Raw genomic sequence first — 15596 nt, 5'->3', positions numbered from 1 at the left:
ATACATACAGACACTCCCTTGGCTCTTTAACCATATATATTTTATTTTTTATCTCCCTTGTTAATAATCCTTAATTTAGTAACTCTGTATGCATGGCGCTTATTTGGGGTCTCACAGCACAGACACATGAGAGGGGTAGGATAGTCTCCTGGCATGACCCCAGAACGTCCGGATCTTCAGGCCACTCAGACAGCTGCTCTGGGGTTAAGTCAGATAACTCATCACAGGTGACATCCTATTCCAGTGTCAGTGGAGACTCTCCTAGCGTCTGTGTGACAAAGCTCTTTTCCTAAGTGACTCTGACTTGGTTATAGTAAATTCTCTACAATGAAGGCTTCTCTCTGGCAAACACATCTTCTAATTCCTAACTACTTAACAGTCATTCTTTGCAGTAAAAATGTATCTGCTCATTGCTGTTTGCGGGAGTGAAAGGGAGGAGGTAAAACATGCTGAGCTGTAGCTGAGTTTGTCACAGCTTTCCTGGTTAAACAGCAATCATTATTCAGTTTCTTTTCTCCCTGTCCGCAACCAACCGGACCAAGTGTAAAAAAACCACACACCTGAAGTCCTAAATCATGGGCCAGAGCCACATAGGCCAGGGCAGGATCTTGGAGGAAGAGAGAGGGGGAGAGTTTGGATAGACTTACTTCCTTCTGGGCCTATGATCCACTTGCCAAATAGCTACAGATGGGACCTCAGTTCCTTCTTCCAGCTGGGAATGTAATTTCCATGATTGTTCTTTTCATGACAAAATGAGGAGGTAATGGAAAGTTTGGGTGGCCCGAGGCTGAGGTTAAAAGAGAGTTCCACCTGTCCAAGTACAAGGTGTTCATGAAGACTTCGGGAAAGGAGAAGGGAGAAACACAAAGGAAAGCCAGGCAGGGAGATCCCATCGCTGCCGCCGGCCCCGAGAGGGAGAGCGCGACTATCACAGGAGTGGGGCTGATTGATTCTGTGCAGGGTGGGCCTGTTGCTGGGGACTCTGTGCTGTGCTGTTGTGACTGTGTGGATGGAGAAGGGACTGTAGCCCTGAGAGGGAATGGAATAGCCCCTTAGAGAACCAAAGATTGCCCCTTTACAGAAGGGAGCCTGCCCAGACCTGCCCTGGTGAGTCTGCTTTTTGACAGCATTTAAGGCAGGGTCCTCCTAGCTGTTGCTAAGGCTGTTTTCTTTCCCATGTATGCAGCTTGAATTAGATTATAAAGCCTTTCCCTCAGGCCTGTTAGTGCTCGTTTTCCATCATTTATCCTGAAAGAGCGACTTCCTTAACATGGCTGGAGACCCTGCACAGTCTGGCCCAGCCTGCCTCCCAGGCTCCTCCTCGCCCATCCTCACCCGTTACTCTGCACCACAGCCCCCCGACCTCCCTCTGTCCTTGGGCTCTGTGCTCCCTTCTGCCACAGGACTCTTGCACATGCTCTTCTCTGGCTGGGACACTCTCCCCTCTTCCCTTTACTTTGTGAACCCATTGGTAAAACAATATAAGCTCTCTCTTCCAACTTTATTAGTTCTAGATCAAGCTGAAACTCTTAGAGCTGTAATGGAAAGTAACTCCCTTCAGGAATAGGGCCACTTGGAGTCTCCACAGGAGACTGAAAAGGAGATCACCCCATATTTCAGGAGAAAGGCTTGGTATTAACCTATTATTGATGTGTAATACTTCCTTCTTTTGTAATTTCCAGACATAACTTTCCATTTGAAGATGCTTAGTTTCTAAATAATTTTTATTGCATTTAGCAGAATTGATAGTTTGTTGGTACAATATTTAGAAACGAATGAAGAAGCAGATAAGATGTTTTCATTCCTGTTCCATTCAGCATTTGTCCATGTGCCTGCACATCCTGGTCACTGAGTGGATTGACATGACAAGATTATGTGATCCTGTGATCCTTTGTTGCGTGGCAGCAACATTGATGTAGAAGCTGGTTGCATGGAGTAACTGCACTTACATTGCCCTCACTGGGCATCATCCATGTTCCTTAGCCCAGAGGACACTTCCTCTCCACTCTGCCTAGGCTGGCCCACACCCCGGGTCCCACATACCTTTCAATGCCTATGTCAAGTCTTCCTCCAACCACAGTAGCCTACTATTATCTCTGTTTCCTTTGAACAATTTGTCCATACCATTCATTTATAACTTGGCATATACTGCCTTGCCTGCAGTTTAGGGCTGATGTTTGGAGAACAGGAACTATGTTATTTATCTTTGCTCTCTCTGCTGTGCCTGTCCTGGGGCATGTGGTAGGTGCTGGGTAAATAGTTATTGGTGCCTCTCAAGGCACTCAGTGAATGCTCAGAACACTTGGTTAAGATTTACAGACAATGATGGAAAAGTGACTCTTCTCTTCTTCCTCTCTAGTTACAAGTTGTTTCCAAATTGCGTCCCCTCCTTTGGGTTCCGCCATCTGCTGCCTCTCACAGACAGAGTGGACAGCTTCAATGAGGAAGTTCGGAAACAGAGGGTGTCCCGGAACCGAGATGCCCCTGAGGGGGGCTTTGATGCAGTACTCCAGGCAGCCGTCTGCAAGGTAACTTTCCTTTCTGGTCCTGTCCCTGCATGGGGAGGTCAAGGTAGAGAGCGTCAGTGGGTGTTGGTACTTCCTGCAGGAGTCTTTGAGTGCCCCAGCATGTGGCTCCTGACCACTCTGAAGTCAGAGGGTGAGCTCAGTGGAACTTCTGGGAAATCTACAGCAGTCAAATCAGCCGGAGCTCGGGAATGGATTGGGCTGGTCTGTGTCTCTGTGTCAGGGTGTGGTTGTGTGCAATGGAGTACTGTCTGCTAGAAGACAGCTGTCTGCATTTATACATTGGCTTTTTGGTTTATTTTCAGGGGAAAAAAGTAAAGGTCAAGTCATAGGCATAGAAGCTTGTAGAGCTTTCTGGACCAATTTTGGCAAACCTTAGAGATTGCTCTCTTGGGAAACCCAGTTGAAAAAGAATTGTGTGAGGCCGGGCGTGGTGGCTCACGCCTGTAATCCCAGCACTTTGGGAGGCCGAGGCAGGTGGATCACGAGGTCAGGAGTTCAAGGCCAGCCTGGCCAACATAGTGAAACCCTGTCTCTACTGAAAATACAAAAAAATTAGCCGGGCATGGTGACGGGTGCCTGTAATCCCAGCTACTCGGGAGGCTGAGGCAGGAGAATCGCTTGAACCAGGAGGCGGAGGTTGCAGTGAGTGGAGATTGTGCCACTGCACTCCAGCCTGGGCGACAGTGTGAGACTCTGTCTCAAATTTAAAAAAAAAAAAAAGAAAGAAAAAGAATTGTGTGGCATCTTTGGTTGCAATTCTAGTTGTTTTCCTCCTGCTTCTCTGTGATATATGAATCCAGAGGGAGGGCCTAGACTTAGATCAGAAATGAACTCATGCTTCGAGAGGTTCCAATCTTAGCAAAATATATAAATGGAATGTTGGTGATAACATAGTCTTAAAATAATTTTCTACTGTTGAAACAACCCAATAACAATAACAAAAAAAAAACACTCTTAAATTCACTATCATAACACATACTTTAAAAATCTGTGAGTCTCTTCTTAGTCTTTGTGCATACATTTCATATTTTTTCAAAGTGGTCATCAATAGAGTGTGAATAATTGGTAATACTTTCTTGAAAATTCAGGCAGATTCCTCAATAGGTGGGGACTCTTCCATTTGGTGAGGGCAGGGTCAGAGGCTAGAACTCAGTCTAGAGAGCCTGCATATGGCAGCTGCTATTCACTTATTAAGTGATAAGCACTTAATTGCTCACTTACACAGTTTCTGACCTCAGAGCCTGAATCTGGTGTGTCACACAGACTCCTGTTTCCTCTCCACTCAATCCTTGACAAGATGGGAAGAAAACCCCAGTTGTCCTTTCTGAAATAAAAAACCAAAATGGCAGAAGGAAATGGATAAGGAGAAGGTAAAATGTAAAGAAAGCAGCAACAGCCATCTGCCATTCTCTTGATCCCACTGTGGTTCTGCCCATCACAGAGTCTGTGGGCCCCTCCTGGAGAAGAAGGTAGCAGTGGCTTCCTATCCAGGAAGGCTGCAGTGTGGCCTCTTCCCAGCTACTGGCCAGAGCCAAATTGTTTGATTCAGAAGTCCCTGGTGTCTCTTAGCAGTCTGAGAGAGACACATGGAAACATGGTTAGAATGTATTCAGTCCTGAACCTTTCAAATGTTTCACAAAATAGTTTATGAATTTGATTCAGAAAGAAAAATTATATTTTTGACTGACTTTCAGATATTGACTATAGGAGGCGTTTTCTCCACAGACATTCAGCCAAATTCTGCTTCTTGGTAGGGAAAAAAATAGTGCAGAGAAGACATAGGATCCCCCTCATCTCCCCACCTTGAGGATTTTATGGATTTTCTTTTTTTGGAGAGAGAAATTCATCTTTCTCTGGAGAAAGAACCCAATTACAGGCCTAAGCAGTGTCTGAGTATATTTTATTCAATTAGATGAATTGAAAGGGCATGATTGATCACTTGGACCACAGTGGTCTTTGAGAAGCCATTTGATCCAGTCTATGTCTATGGAACCTTCCTGTGCCATCCCTGATGGATGAAATCTTCAACCCTTTGAAAACACAGTATTTCAAGACTCAAGCATTTCAGAGGCGATGCTAGCAGATTTTCTCAGTTCATTGTCTGGACCTGGTGAATTATTGTTGACGGAGAGGCACTTTGTGAGCAAGTTTCAGGCTTATACCTGTTGAAATTTGCTCTTTATTCCTCACCACGACCTTTGCAAAAGGGAATACCTGGAAAGTTAATGATTGCTCAGAATTATGCAGCCAATGTGCCTCCAGCATCTCTCTTTGCCTTTTCTTTTCCATTGTGCTGTCAGTTTATGTTCAGGTGCATACTAAGCAATTTATTTCTCACTTGACATCACCTACTTATAAAACATGTCATCCTTCCTGGCTCACCACAGCCTTATGGTGACAAAAAATTGGAAGTAGTTTATGGACTACTTTTGGATGAAAGACTACGCAACAGTCATACTACTTAAAATATTTAATGACTTGAGGCTGGGCGCGGTGGCTCACGCCTGTAATCCTAGCACTTTGAGAGGCTGAGGCGGGCAGATCATGAGGTCAGGAGATCGAGACCATCCTGGCTAACGCGGTGAAACCCCGTCTCTACTAAAAATACAAAAAATTAGCCGGGCGTGGTGGCAGGCGCCTGTAGTCCCAGCTACTCGGGAGGCTGAGGCAGGAGAATGGTGTGAACCCCGGAGGCGGAGCTTTCAGTGAACCGAGATCATGCCACTGCACTCCAGCCTGGGCAACAGAGCAAGACTCTGTCTCAAAAAAAAAAAAATTTTAATGACTTGAATAATATGTAAGGTATTAGTATCAGATGGCTTTAATAGTAACTTTGCTCTCTCTTGGCTCCCTCTTCTAGGAAAAATTGTCCTTAGGGAAGATACAACCCAATGTTTTATGTTTTAAGAATTTCCAGAATAATATGTAAGATAAATTAAGATTGGCATGGGAAGCAGGTTATAAAACAATATGGACAGTATACTTCTGTTTTGCAAACAAAAGAAAGAAAAAATGTGGAAAAGATTGGAAATGGAACAAAATGGTAACAGTGGTTGTCTCAGGTGACAAGATTATATTTTTCTGATAGGTGATAGGCTTATTTTCTTCTTTGGCTTTTTGTTTAATATTTACCTAAATTTCCACAGTGAATAAGTATGATTTCTTTTTTTTTTTTTTTATTCTGGAACAGTTTCAGAATAAAGAATAGTGAAATGAAACCCCATGTACTCATTGTTCGTCTTTAATGATTACTAACTCATGACCAGTCTTGTTGCATTTGTATTCCCAACCACACCCATATTTGAAGCAGATCTTGGCTATCATTTGTAAGTCCTAAGTATCCCTTACTTTGTTTACTGAATGCTGTGTCTCCTCCTGATCTGGCCAGATTAAAGGCCCTTCCACTGAATCCTGCAAACAGTGGAACAGAGGGAGAAGGCCTGGAATCTTGTGCAGTTGGCTCTGTGCGTCATAGGGGCTGGAGTTGGCCAGGCAATTCCCCGGCAGCGCTGCACGCTCTACTTCCCCTGACCCTGTGCCCTGGAGATGGAGCTGATAACAGGCCTATCTCCCAGCGCCACAGGGAGCTCTTTGTCCTGGTTTTATTCTCACTCTGGTTTTATTCTCATTCTTGTTTCCCTGAATGGACTGTTAGTTATCAACTTGTGGGATTTAGGGGTATGGAATATTCACATGTCTGACTTTAAATCCACCTCTGTGGCCTGCTCTTGAAAGATGTTCTTTGCAAAAAGAAGGAAACTACCTGTTTCTATTTAGGATTCATTCCATTTATGATAAGGACCCTGTTTCTATGAATGGAGGTTTTGAGTTGCTTTATTTATCCCCTGCAGGTCACATTGCTGTGAGAGGCCATCTAACAGCATCCACAGCTAAGGGATGCTTCTGTCGTCAAGGCGGGCATTTTTTCTAATGCACTGTTCCTGGCTGGGTTGGAGTTGGAGAATGCCACTGCCTGTAATTTCTTATCTTTACCCAGAGCCTATGATTGAACCTGTTTATACTTTTTTATGGTCAGAATAATGGTTTCTCTGCCAGGACCTTCTAGAAGTTGACTCTAAGTTGTTTGTTCTGAAATTGTGCAGGCGGAAGTGTGATGTGTGGTTCAGACTGGAAATATGGCTGCTTTCCTCTTCTCTCAAAACAGGGCACGCCCTTGGCCTAGGGAGGACAGAGGGTGAGCAGTTGCCTGGAAGCTCTGGGTCCCAAGTTGTCAGTTATCACTTTGCTCTTCTTCATGGCTCTCAGGTTAAAGAAGTTACTTGTACATTTGAGCTTGGCTGGGTACATGCTGGCTGCACAGTATTCTATGTGCTGCTTTTTTTCGTCAGCCAGAAAATAAATCAGTGCAACCCAATGCGTTTCCCTGTTTGTCTCCACTGCTAGAGCCCTGGCACTTATCCTTTGTATTCTTTAGACAGAGTTTCTGTTTTAATCCTGATTCTTTTAATTTTGCCTGTGTTCAATTTTTAAAGCATTTATTTCCTCTCAAAAATAGTTGGATGAGTAAGTCTTAAAGCAAACAAGGTAAATTTATGTATTGAATAAAATTTTTTTGGCAGGAATTGAGACCTTTATTCTTCCCTGGCCAGAATATCTTATCTAAAATGAAGACCACAGCCTCAGAGGAGCCGTGATTCTTGTTGGAGGATCCTTACCAGAATCCTACAGTATATTGGTAGGACTCTGATAAGGGTTGTTCCCATTTTACAGGGGTGGAAACTGAGTATCACAGGGACTAATTGCATTTAGTAAGGAGTAGAACCAGAATGTGAACCAGTTCTGTTGATTTGAAATTCTGTGCCCTTTTTATTACTCAGTGACTGTGTGCTCTGGGAAGTAACAATAATGCACTATTGAGTAAGGGGCACTGCATTTATTTATTTAAAACAATTTTTTTTTCTTTTTCTTTTTTTTTTGAAAGGAGATCTCATTCTATCGCCCAGGCTGGAGTGCTGTGGTGTTATCATGGCTCACTGCAACCTTGCCCAGCTAATTTTTTTGTATTTTTAGTAAAGACATGGTTTGTCCATGTTGGCCAGGCTGGTCTTGAACTTCTGGGCTCAAGTGATCTGCCCACCTCAGCCTCCCAAAATGCTGGGATTATAGGTGTGAGCCACTGCACACAGCCTGTTGAATTTTTTTTTTTTTAATAATACATTCCAAACCTAGGAAGGCACTGAATTTAGAGTCATGTTTTCCTTACTCAAGCTCTGCCTCTTCTGTTATCGGCTGCCTCCATGGAAGCCAGTTGACTTCTCCAGGCCTCAGAGAGCACATCTGGGAGATGCAGGGAGGCATGGGACTGGAGGGAGGTGCTCCAGGTTGCCTTCCATCTGTGCCAGCCAGTGCCACTTCTCGCAGAGGACTTGGTCACAGCCCTGTCTCCTTTGCTCAAGGCCTTTGATTTTGCTTTTTTGTCTCTTCTGGCTCAGGCTTAAGCCTCAGACCCAGTAGAGGCTGCTGCAGACACCTGTAAAATGTGGAAAATTCCCCAGTCCCAGAGTCAGGCACAACTTTGTCAGGGTTTCCTCTTGCTCCCTCCCAGCTCCCAGTTCCTGCAGAATTGACTCGCTTTCTTTTGACTTATTGCCTGATTTCTTTTAGACCTCAGACTTGTGTCACTTTTCCAAGCATGAGTTGAGAAATACAGGAAATTGCCTTTCTTTCCTCAAGGAAGGCATCCCCCCACTCCTCAAACCTCTGCACCACCTGAAGAGAGGGACCCGCCACATGTTCTGCTTCCCAGCTGTCTGCGTTGTCTGTCTCAGCATGTGTGAGCTGCTTCTGCTAGCAGATCGCACCACAGGTTTCCGGGGCTTGATCCAGCGCCAGGCTGCCTGCTCTTCCTGTGCTGCCGTGTCTTTGGGGAAGCACCATTAAAGTATTGGATTTCTCTGGGCATTGCGCATGCAGGTGTGCAGACCCTCTGCCCTGTAGGGTTGTTGTCAGACAGGTGTGGCGCAGCTTCCCCTTGGCTTTCTATGTGGCAGACGGCAGTGGTTTCATGTGCACTTCTGAATCCTTCTACTGTTTTGGTCTCTGAGGCGACATCCCAAGTGCAGGACTCCGTGGTTTCCTGGCTCTGCCTTCTGCTGTGAGCTGTGTTGTGGGCTCCGCAGCCCCACCGACAGCTGCTGTTCTGGGTTGAGCGGTGGGAACTGGCTGAGTCATAACTCAGTATCGTGAACAGGGCACGTGGGAGAGTTTGCGTTTCTTTTTGCCCTCTAGTGTAAACAAGTCACGTGCCTGCCTTGCACCTGTGCTTAGGAGGTGTCTACACGTGCTGGTGGCTCCCTTCACTGACCAAGGCAGGGAATAATCATCCTGGGGAAAGGGTAGGAGGCCCCTTTGATGGCTGGGGCTCTGTTTTCATACCAGGTGAGAATGTCAATTTTTTATTTTAAGTCAGAGGCTCCTTCTTGCTTGGAATGTCCACTGAGCAAAGATGAAAGGAGACAGGAATTTGCTCTTGGGCTCCTGTTGCAAGGCTCTCTGCCTGTGGCCTCTACCTGTGGCCTCTGCATTCCAGCCACAGTGACCTGGAGTGCGTTACTCTGACTCAGGCAAGGCCTTTGCATGTGTTGTTTCCTCTGTTTGGATACTCCATTCCTGTATTCCTGGTTTTCTTTGATACTACTTCCCTGTATTCCTGGTTTGCTTGCTTGCTTCCTTCCTTCCTTCTTTCCTCCCTCCCCTCCCTCCCCTTCCTCCTGTCCGTCCTTCCCTCCCTCCCTCCCTCCCCATCCTTCCCTTCTCTCTCTCTCTTTCCTTCCTTCTTTCCTTCCTTCCTTCCTCCCTCCCTCCCCCCGCTCCCTCCCCTCCCTCCCCTTCCTCGCCTCCCTCCTTCCTTCCCTCCTCTCCCTCCCTCCCTTCCCATCCTTCCCTTCTTTCTCTCTCTCTTTCCTTCCTTCCTTCCTTCTTTCTTTCTTTGTTTCCTTCTTTCTTTCTTTCTTTCAGTAGATTTTATTTTTTATAGCAGTTTTAGGTTCATAGCAAAAATGAATAGAAAATAAAGAATTCCCACAACTTCCCTCTGACCACTGCGCACACAACCTCCCCCACCATCAGCATTCCACATCAGTGTGGTATATTTGTTACAATCAGTGACCCAGTCAGTGTTGACACATCATTATCAACCAGAGTCCATAGTTCACATTAGGGTTCACTCTTGGTTTGTACAGTTCTGTGGGTTTTAACAAATGTACGACAACAGGTAGCCACCATTAAATATCACACAGAGTAGCTTCCCTGCCCCGGAAGTCCCTGTGCTCCACTTGTCCATTCCTGCTTCCTCCCCCGGAATCTGTTTTCCTTTTAATGTCTAACCTGTGCCTGTTTGTGTTTCAGATTTCAGCTTCACTGTCTGTTTGTCAGAGAAGCCCTCCCTGGTGGACTTCCCTGAGTAGGTCAGGATGCCCTGGCTCCAGGCAAGCCCTTAATCACTTCTGTCCTAGTTATCATCTTATTTTTATTTATTTGAAGCATTCCTGGAATGCCTGCCTCCCTTTGAGATAGTAAACTCCCTGAAGGCAGGGACTATGTCTTTTTTCTTATGACTATATTCCCAGCACCAGACACTGCTGGGCACATAACAGATGCTTGTTAAACATCTGGGAACAAAGGCTTCATTCTCACAGGTGCCTTTATGCTTCTGAAGTTCAGGAATACCAGGTTCTTCTGGCCCCAAGCTTGTCCCATCCTGGATGGGACTTCCACCCTCCCATCCACCAGGCTGCCTCCATGGAATTTACAGTGCTTCATGCAAATTCATTAAAGCAGAACCAGAAGTACTATTACTTGGTAATACTTTTCCATTCAGAAAGCATTTATTGGCTGTCCAATAAATGCTCAGTGGCAGGTATGGTGGAGAAAATTAAAGATAGATGAGAAGTCTCTATCCTCTGGGATTTGATTTGAGCCTGCAGATCCATTAGAAGGGAAATAAAACAACCTGTTTGGAAACATTAGATTGAACCATATAAAATTATTGATATTTATTGATGATATTTGTTATTTGCCTATTGATGTTTTTCCTGCAAAAATGGAAAATTCATATGGTTCAACCTTCTTCATTCCAAAATGTTCTATAATTCAGATTGGACTGTGTCACAGAGTACAGATTAGAAATGTCATCCTGCACATTGCTGGGATTTGAGCTCAAGAGGAATGTCTGTATCCTGAGTCATAGGCCAAGATTTCTTTTTCCCAAGGAAAGAAATGCTACACTTTTGGCCTCATTAAGTTTAGCCACAGAACAGATTTTTTTAAAAAAGATATTTCATTGCAAACAGTGGATGGAAGTAGGAAAAACAAACTAAAAAGAATGTGTATATTGTTTTAAAGGGATGGAAATATGCCTGAATGTCAACATGATTCGGGAAACCAATCACAGAGACCCTCTAACCTTGTTTTCCCTTATGTGCTGTGGAGACTCCTCTGTCCCCAAGCTCAGATCTACTGTGGGAGCTGCCCACTGGCTGCCCAGGTCAGTCCCCTTTCCTTCCTCATTCCTGCCTTGAAACCTGTCCCCTCTTCCTCAGTGCTTGCCTGAAAGGTTAATGGACAGTGTTTTGTTATTACATTTGAAAACGTCTTGAGTACTTACTGTGTACAAGACGTCCTGTTAGGTGCTGTGGGGAATGCAGAGTTGAAGTAGCCGTGATGCCTGTCTCCATGAGCATCACTCTAGTTGTAGGACTGATGTATGTGTAGGATCTAAGGCACAGCCAGAGAACAGACTCTGTGGAAGGACTGGCTCCTTCAGACCCGTGGTTCAGTTAGAGTATTCTTCTCTCTCAAGGGGTCATCCTGGTCTCTTGCTTCCTGGTGAGGTGCTGGTGCTAATGATGCTGTTGATCACCACTGGCTGAGTGCTTTTGAGAGCCAGGCTCTGTACCAGGCATTTAACAGGGTTTCTTTCACATACTCCTTTGAAGGTGGCTTTACTATCTCCTTTGATGAGGAAACAAGCCTAGAAAGGTGAAGTAACTTCCCCAAAGTTTTACAGCCACAAAAGGCAGCACCAGAATTGGAAACCTTATCTACCTGCTGGTATGGCTTAACCTTGACATTAGAGTATCTGCCATCTTTTGAAGTCACACAGGAACACAGAAGTGGGAAGAGTGTGCTTCCAAAGAGAGCACAGTCCCAGTCTATGGAACCATCACAATTACCCACATGACCCAGTTTGCCAACTGTAGAATGGTACTGAAACAGTCCCAGGGGAAGAAAGTTGCATGTGCCACTCTTTTCTGGAGCTAAGAGTTTCCTCTCTATCAGAAACAGTTATCATGTGACTCTATCAGCCCTCAGGATTTTCCAGGGAGGCCACTGGTACTGTCCCAAGGTTAGCATGCTGATGGATATGTGAAATGCTTATCTTTGCCTCTGGCTTCCCTGTCTGTAAAATGGAAACTCTGATATCTGCCTTCTCATTCCTAATTTGGAGGGTGTCTCAGACCCATCGGCTCTTCTCCCTTGGGCTTGCTCAGATAGCACTGAGGCACAATGCTGCTTTTCACGTGGTGGATCTTTTCCAGCAGAGAGAGTACATGTGCCTGGTGACTCTTCTGTGATAACTGGGGCCCCTGGGCTGCGTTGATAACAGTCTTGAGGGCCTCTTCATTTGGACAATTGTTAATTTTAATTAGGCAGATTGACCTCGGGATCAGAGAACCTAGAAATTTAAAGCTACAGTCTCTGGGATGGCATCTTTATTCCAGAACTCCCTTGTGTTTGAACTAGCAAGCCAAGCTCAGTGAGCCAGCCCATGTTCAGGCAGGCCCCACTTGTGTTTTCCGACAGCTGAGTGGGACGTTGGCTTTCCTCAGATTCCCAAGAATTGGTGGTCTGGGCCTTCCCCTGCACCTTCCCACGGGGCGTCCTTGAATCTGCCTGTCTCACTTGTCATGCTCTGCCATTGTCCATTTGCGTAAATAAGTTACTATGAAATGGACCTGGGGATCCCCAGGCTTAACATGAGCCAGTAGGAAGATTCAGCTGCCAAACACAGGCCTCATGCTCCAGGTCCAATTCAGAGCCCACAGGCCACTTTTCCAGCCTAGTTCCTCTGTGCAGGTCAGACCACATCCAGGGAACCATGCCTGGCCTGCCTCTGGGAGCTGTGTTTAAGACAGACATTGACAGCGAGAGAGCAGAGGGGATAAGTGGGTGGTGCCGGGCATGGGAACCACATCCTCAGAGGAGAGACACCATAGGAAGTAGCATGGTAACTGACCTCAGATATCATTATAAAAGAGGGAATAGACCCTTTTGGCTATTCCAGGGGATGTACTAGGGTAGCCACAGGAAAGCAGGTTGGAGTCCAATGTAAGGAAGAATTTTCTTGTTTTTTTGTTGTTGTTGTTGTTGTTCGTTTGAGATGGAGTTGTGCTCTGTCACCCAGGCTGGAGTTCAGTGGTGTGATCTCAGCTCACTGCAACCTCTGCCTCCTGGGTTCAAGCAATTCTCTTGCCTCAGCCTCCCAAGTAGCTAGGATTACAGGCACGTGCCACCACGCCTGGCTAACTTTTGTGTTTTTAGTAGAGACGGGATTTCATCATGTTGGCCAGGCCGGTCTCAAACTCCTGACCTCAGGTAATGCATCTGCCTTGGCCTCCCAAAGGGCTAGGATTACAGGCATGAGCCACCGTGCCCGGCCAAGGAAGAATTTTCTATCAAGGAGAGCTGCTTAGCAGTGTGGCAGTGAGTATGTGTGTGGGCCCCATACCCAGGTGGCAGATGCTGGAGGAAAGATCCCTGCACTGGATGGGAGGCTGTACAAGAACCTCTGAGGTTCCTTCCAGAATTCAGGTGCTACATGTTTTCTCTGTTTTTCTACACAGTCATCCATTGGTGCTTTTGTCCTGTTGTAGCCCCTTGGAGCCTGTCTTCTCTGGTTCTCAGCAGTGCACCCTCTAAGCTGCCCCTGTATTTGGCCACAGTGACCATGAACTCTGCTATACATGTTCATTTTATTTGCCAAGTGCAGCTGACTTTGAGCTGACTTCTTCCTGGCTCCTGTTGGCTTCCCATGGAGCCACCTTACCATATGGGTGAAAGTCAGGTGGGACCGAGACCAGGGAAAAACTGTGGAGGGTGGGGCAGAGAAGGATGGAAGCTGTTCTTGGTTCTCTGTGTGAGCTTCCTTTTTTGTCAGACCTGTAGCCAGAGTGTGACTCCTTTCAGCCTTAAGAAGCCAAATTGCTCCACAGGCTGGAAGCTTGCGTCCTCAAACTAGTGAAACCAGGTCCTTTACTCCCTAACCATTTGTTTCTCTCTCTGCCAGTCCCTGTTCTCTGGGGCCAGATGTTGGAAGTGAACAAGCCAGCGAGTCTGTCTTCACTCCTGGGAGGAGTCCATTTTTGTTAATTTTCTCAGTGACTGGGAAGGGCTGGTCTTCCATCTCATTCCTGCTTCCCCTTTTCATGGATGACTGAGAGTGAGGTCAGATTTTAAGGAACTGAGAGGAGGAAATAGGTCTGCTGGTCTTAAAAGAGAGAGGCGAGTGATGAGAGTTTGGTGGCGTCGCAGGGTGAAGAGAAGGCTTGTTATTAGTGGGCCATGAACATATTTGTAGGCACATGGAAGGGACCAGAGGAGACAGTGACAATGGAATAAATTCTCCAAAGAGGGTGGGGTTTGCAGGGCTGTGTTTCCTCAAGGAGGGAGGAGCACTTCTTCCCTTGGGATGGTGAGATCAGAGCGAGGCTGGGAGGACATGCCAGTTTGTTTCAGACGGAGAGGAGAGCACTGGCTGAAAGGCATCCTAGGGCCTAGGACCAGAACTGTGAGATCCTGGGAATAGGTGAAGGGAGAAGTCCTTTTACCTATCTCTGTGGGTGACGAAACAAGTGAGGTCGTTCCCTCGCATGAGTGTGGAAGCAGGAGTTGGAAATAGACCTCGTGGTGAATTTGACAGTGAACAAAGAAAAGTGACAGGACTCGCAGCCCTGACCGGATGCCTGGCTTCATGCATCTGCGTCCAGTGCGTTTCCGCCCCACGCGCTCCTAACGCTTTCATCTGAGGCTGACCTCTGTCATGTTTAGCGAAATTGGTTTTGTTTACATTTTGGCTTTACTTAAAGACATAGAGAAAAGTTCAGCTAAATAAATAGGTCTTCTCCTTCTTTTAAAAACTATTTATAAAAAGAGAATATATTCAACATAAAAAATTAGAAAATGTAGATAAGCAGAAAGGAAATAAGCATCACCCATAATTCTATTAATATAAAGATAAGATGATGTTTTTCTGAATTATAGATATAAGTGACAGTTTTTCAACTCCGTGGAAATACTATGATGATAACTATTAATTACTATTGATCCCATACCAGATACTGAATGGGGTGCTCAATGTGTATCATCTTCTTTAATTCTCTCAACAACCCTATTTTATCAATACTATTATTACCTCCCTCTTATAAACAAGGAAGCTGAGATAGGGAAAGATTAAGTAAGTTGTCTAAGATCACAAAAACAAGATAAGGGAGACATGGGACCGAAATCAGATTAGCCAGATACCTGAGCCCATGCACCTAAATTCTGTGTGAATACTGCTATTAAATAAAAAAGTATTTGGGCCCAGTGTGGTGGCGCATGCGTGTAATCCCAGCACTTTGGGAGGCCAGCACTGCGATGGCTTGAGCCTAGGAGTTCAAGACCAGCCTGAGCATCGAAGTATAATTGATGTACAATGAGCTACACATATTGAAAGTGTACAGTTTAACAAATTTTGACATTTATGTACACTCACGAAAGCAACTCTGCGATCAAGGTAACAAACATATCCTTCACCCCTAAAAGTGTATTTGTGCCCCTTTATCATCATTTCTTCCTCTTCTCCCTCCTGCCTCCCTTACCCCAGGCAATGAATTTGCTTTCTGTCACTACACACTAGACTGCATTTACTCAAATTTCATATGCCTAGTATACACTCTTTTTTTGCCTGCCTTATTTCCCTTAGCAGTTATTTTGAGATTCATTCACGCCGTTAGTGTATCCATTCATTCCTTTTGTTGCTGAGTAGTATTCCATCGCATAGATATG

The 15596-nt window shown here is 45.5% G+C and overlaps 1 protein-coding gene across 10 annotated transcripts in view, besides 8 other annotated features; it reads left to right on the top strand.

Annotated features, from left to right (window-relative positions):
• Positions 1-15596, top strand: part of ITGB5 (integrin subunit beta 5) — a 139471-nt gene that overhangs the window by 57508 nt on the left and 66367 nt on the right. For all 10 annotated transcript variants that reach the window (NM_001354766.2, NM_001354764.2, NM_001354765.1 and 7 more), the window contains exon 5: positions 2360-2528. In NM_001354766.2, coding sequence (NP_001341695.1) covers positions 2360-2528 — 169 coding nt within the window. The remainder of the gene's footprint in view (positions 1-2359; positions 2529-15596) is intronic.
• Positions 608-1107: an enhancer, noted in NCBI's record as "H3K27ac hESC enhancer chr3:124561651-124562150 (GRCh37/hg19 assembly coordinates)". NCBI's record gives its function as "activates a minimal SCP1, AML or CMV promoter by ChIP-STARR-seq in naive and primed H9 embryonic stem cells {active_cell/tissue: H9 hESC(naive and primed)}" and the evidence as "EXISTENCE:reporter gene assay evidence [ECO:0000049][PMID:30033119]".
• Positions 1108-1609: an enhancer, noted in NCBI's record as "H3K27ac hESC enhancer chr3:124561149-124561650 (GRCh37/hg19 assembly coordinates)". NCBI's record gives its function as "activates a minimal SCP1, AML or CMV promoter by ChIP-STARR-seq in primed H9 embryonic stem cells {active_cell/tissue: H9 hESC(primed)}" and the evidence as "EXISTENCE:reporter gene assay evidence [ECO:0000049][PMID:30033119]".
• Positions 8175-8469: a silencer, noted in NCBI's record as "tiled region #831; K562 Repressive non-DNase unmatched - State 7:EnhWF". NCBI's record gives its function as "represses a minimal TATA promoter and a strong SV40 promoter by Sharpr-MPRA in K562 cells {active_cell/tissue: K562}" and the evidence as "EXISTENCE:reporter gene assay evidence [ECO:0000049][PMID:27701403]".
• Positions 8432-8641: an enhancer, noted in NCBI's record as "active region_20407". NCBI's record gives its function as "activates an Ori minimal core promoter by ATAC-STARR-seq in GM12878 lymphoblastoid cells {active_cell/tissue: GM12878}" and the evidence as "EXISTENCE:reporter gene assay evidence [ECO:0000049][PMID:35858748]".
• Positions 8882-8971: an enhancer, noted in NCBI's record as "active region_20406". NCBI's record gives its function as "activates an Ori minimal core promoter by ATAC-STARR-seq in GM12878 lymphoblastoid cells {active_cell/tissue: GM12878}" and the evidence as "EXISTENCE:reporter gene assay evidence [ECO:0000049][PMID:35858748]".
• Positions 9336-9835: an enhancer, noted in NCBI's record as "H3K27ac hESC enhancer chr3:124552923-124553422 (GRCh37/hg19 assembly coordinates)". NCBI's record gives its function as "activates a minimal SCP1, AML or CMV promoter by ChIP-STARR-seq in primed H9 embryonic stem cells {active_cell/tissue: H9 hESC(primed)}" and the evidence as "EXISTENCE:reporter gene assay evidence [ECO:0000049][PMID:30033119]".
• Positions 13310-13973: an enhancer, noted in NCBI's record as "H3K27ac hESC enhancer chr3:124548785-124549448 (GRCh37/hg19 assembly coordinates)". NCBI's record gives its function as "activates a minimal SCP1, AML or CMV promoter by ChIP-STARR-seq in primed H9 embryonic stem cells {active_cell/tissue: H9 hESC(primed)}" and the evidence as "EXISTENCE:reporter gene assay evidence [ECO:0000049][PMID:30033119]".
• Positions 13974-14637: an enhancer, noted in NCBI's record as "H3K27ac-H3K4me1 hESC enhancer chr3:124548121-124548784 (GRCh37/hg19 assembly coordinates)". NCBI's record gives its function as "activates a minimal SCP1, AML or CMV promoter by ChIP-STARR-seq in primed H9 embryonic stem cells {active_cell/tissue: H9 hESC(primed)}" and the evidence as "EXISTENCE:reporter gene assay evidence [ECO:0000049][PMID:30033119]".

The sequence above is a fragment of the Homo sapiens genome, chromosome 3 (assembly GCF_000001405.40).
Source record: "Homo sapiens chromosome 3, GRCh38.p14 Primary Assembly".
Classification (NCBI taxonomy): Eukaryota; Metazoa; Chordata; class Mammalia; order Primates; family Hominidae; genus Homo; species Homo sapiens.
Note: the sequence above shows the minus strand (reverse complement) of the source record. Positions and strands in the feature narration are given on the sequence as shown.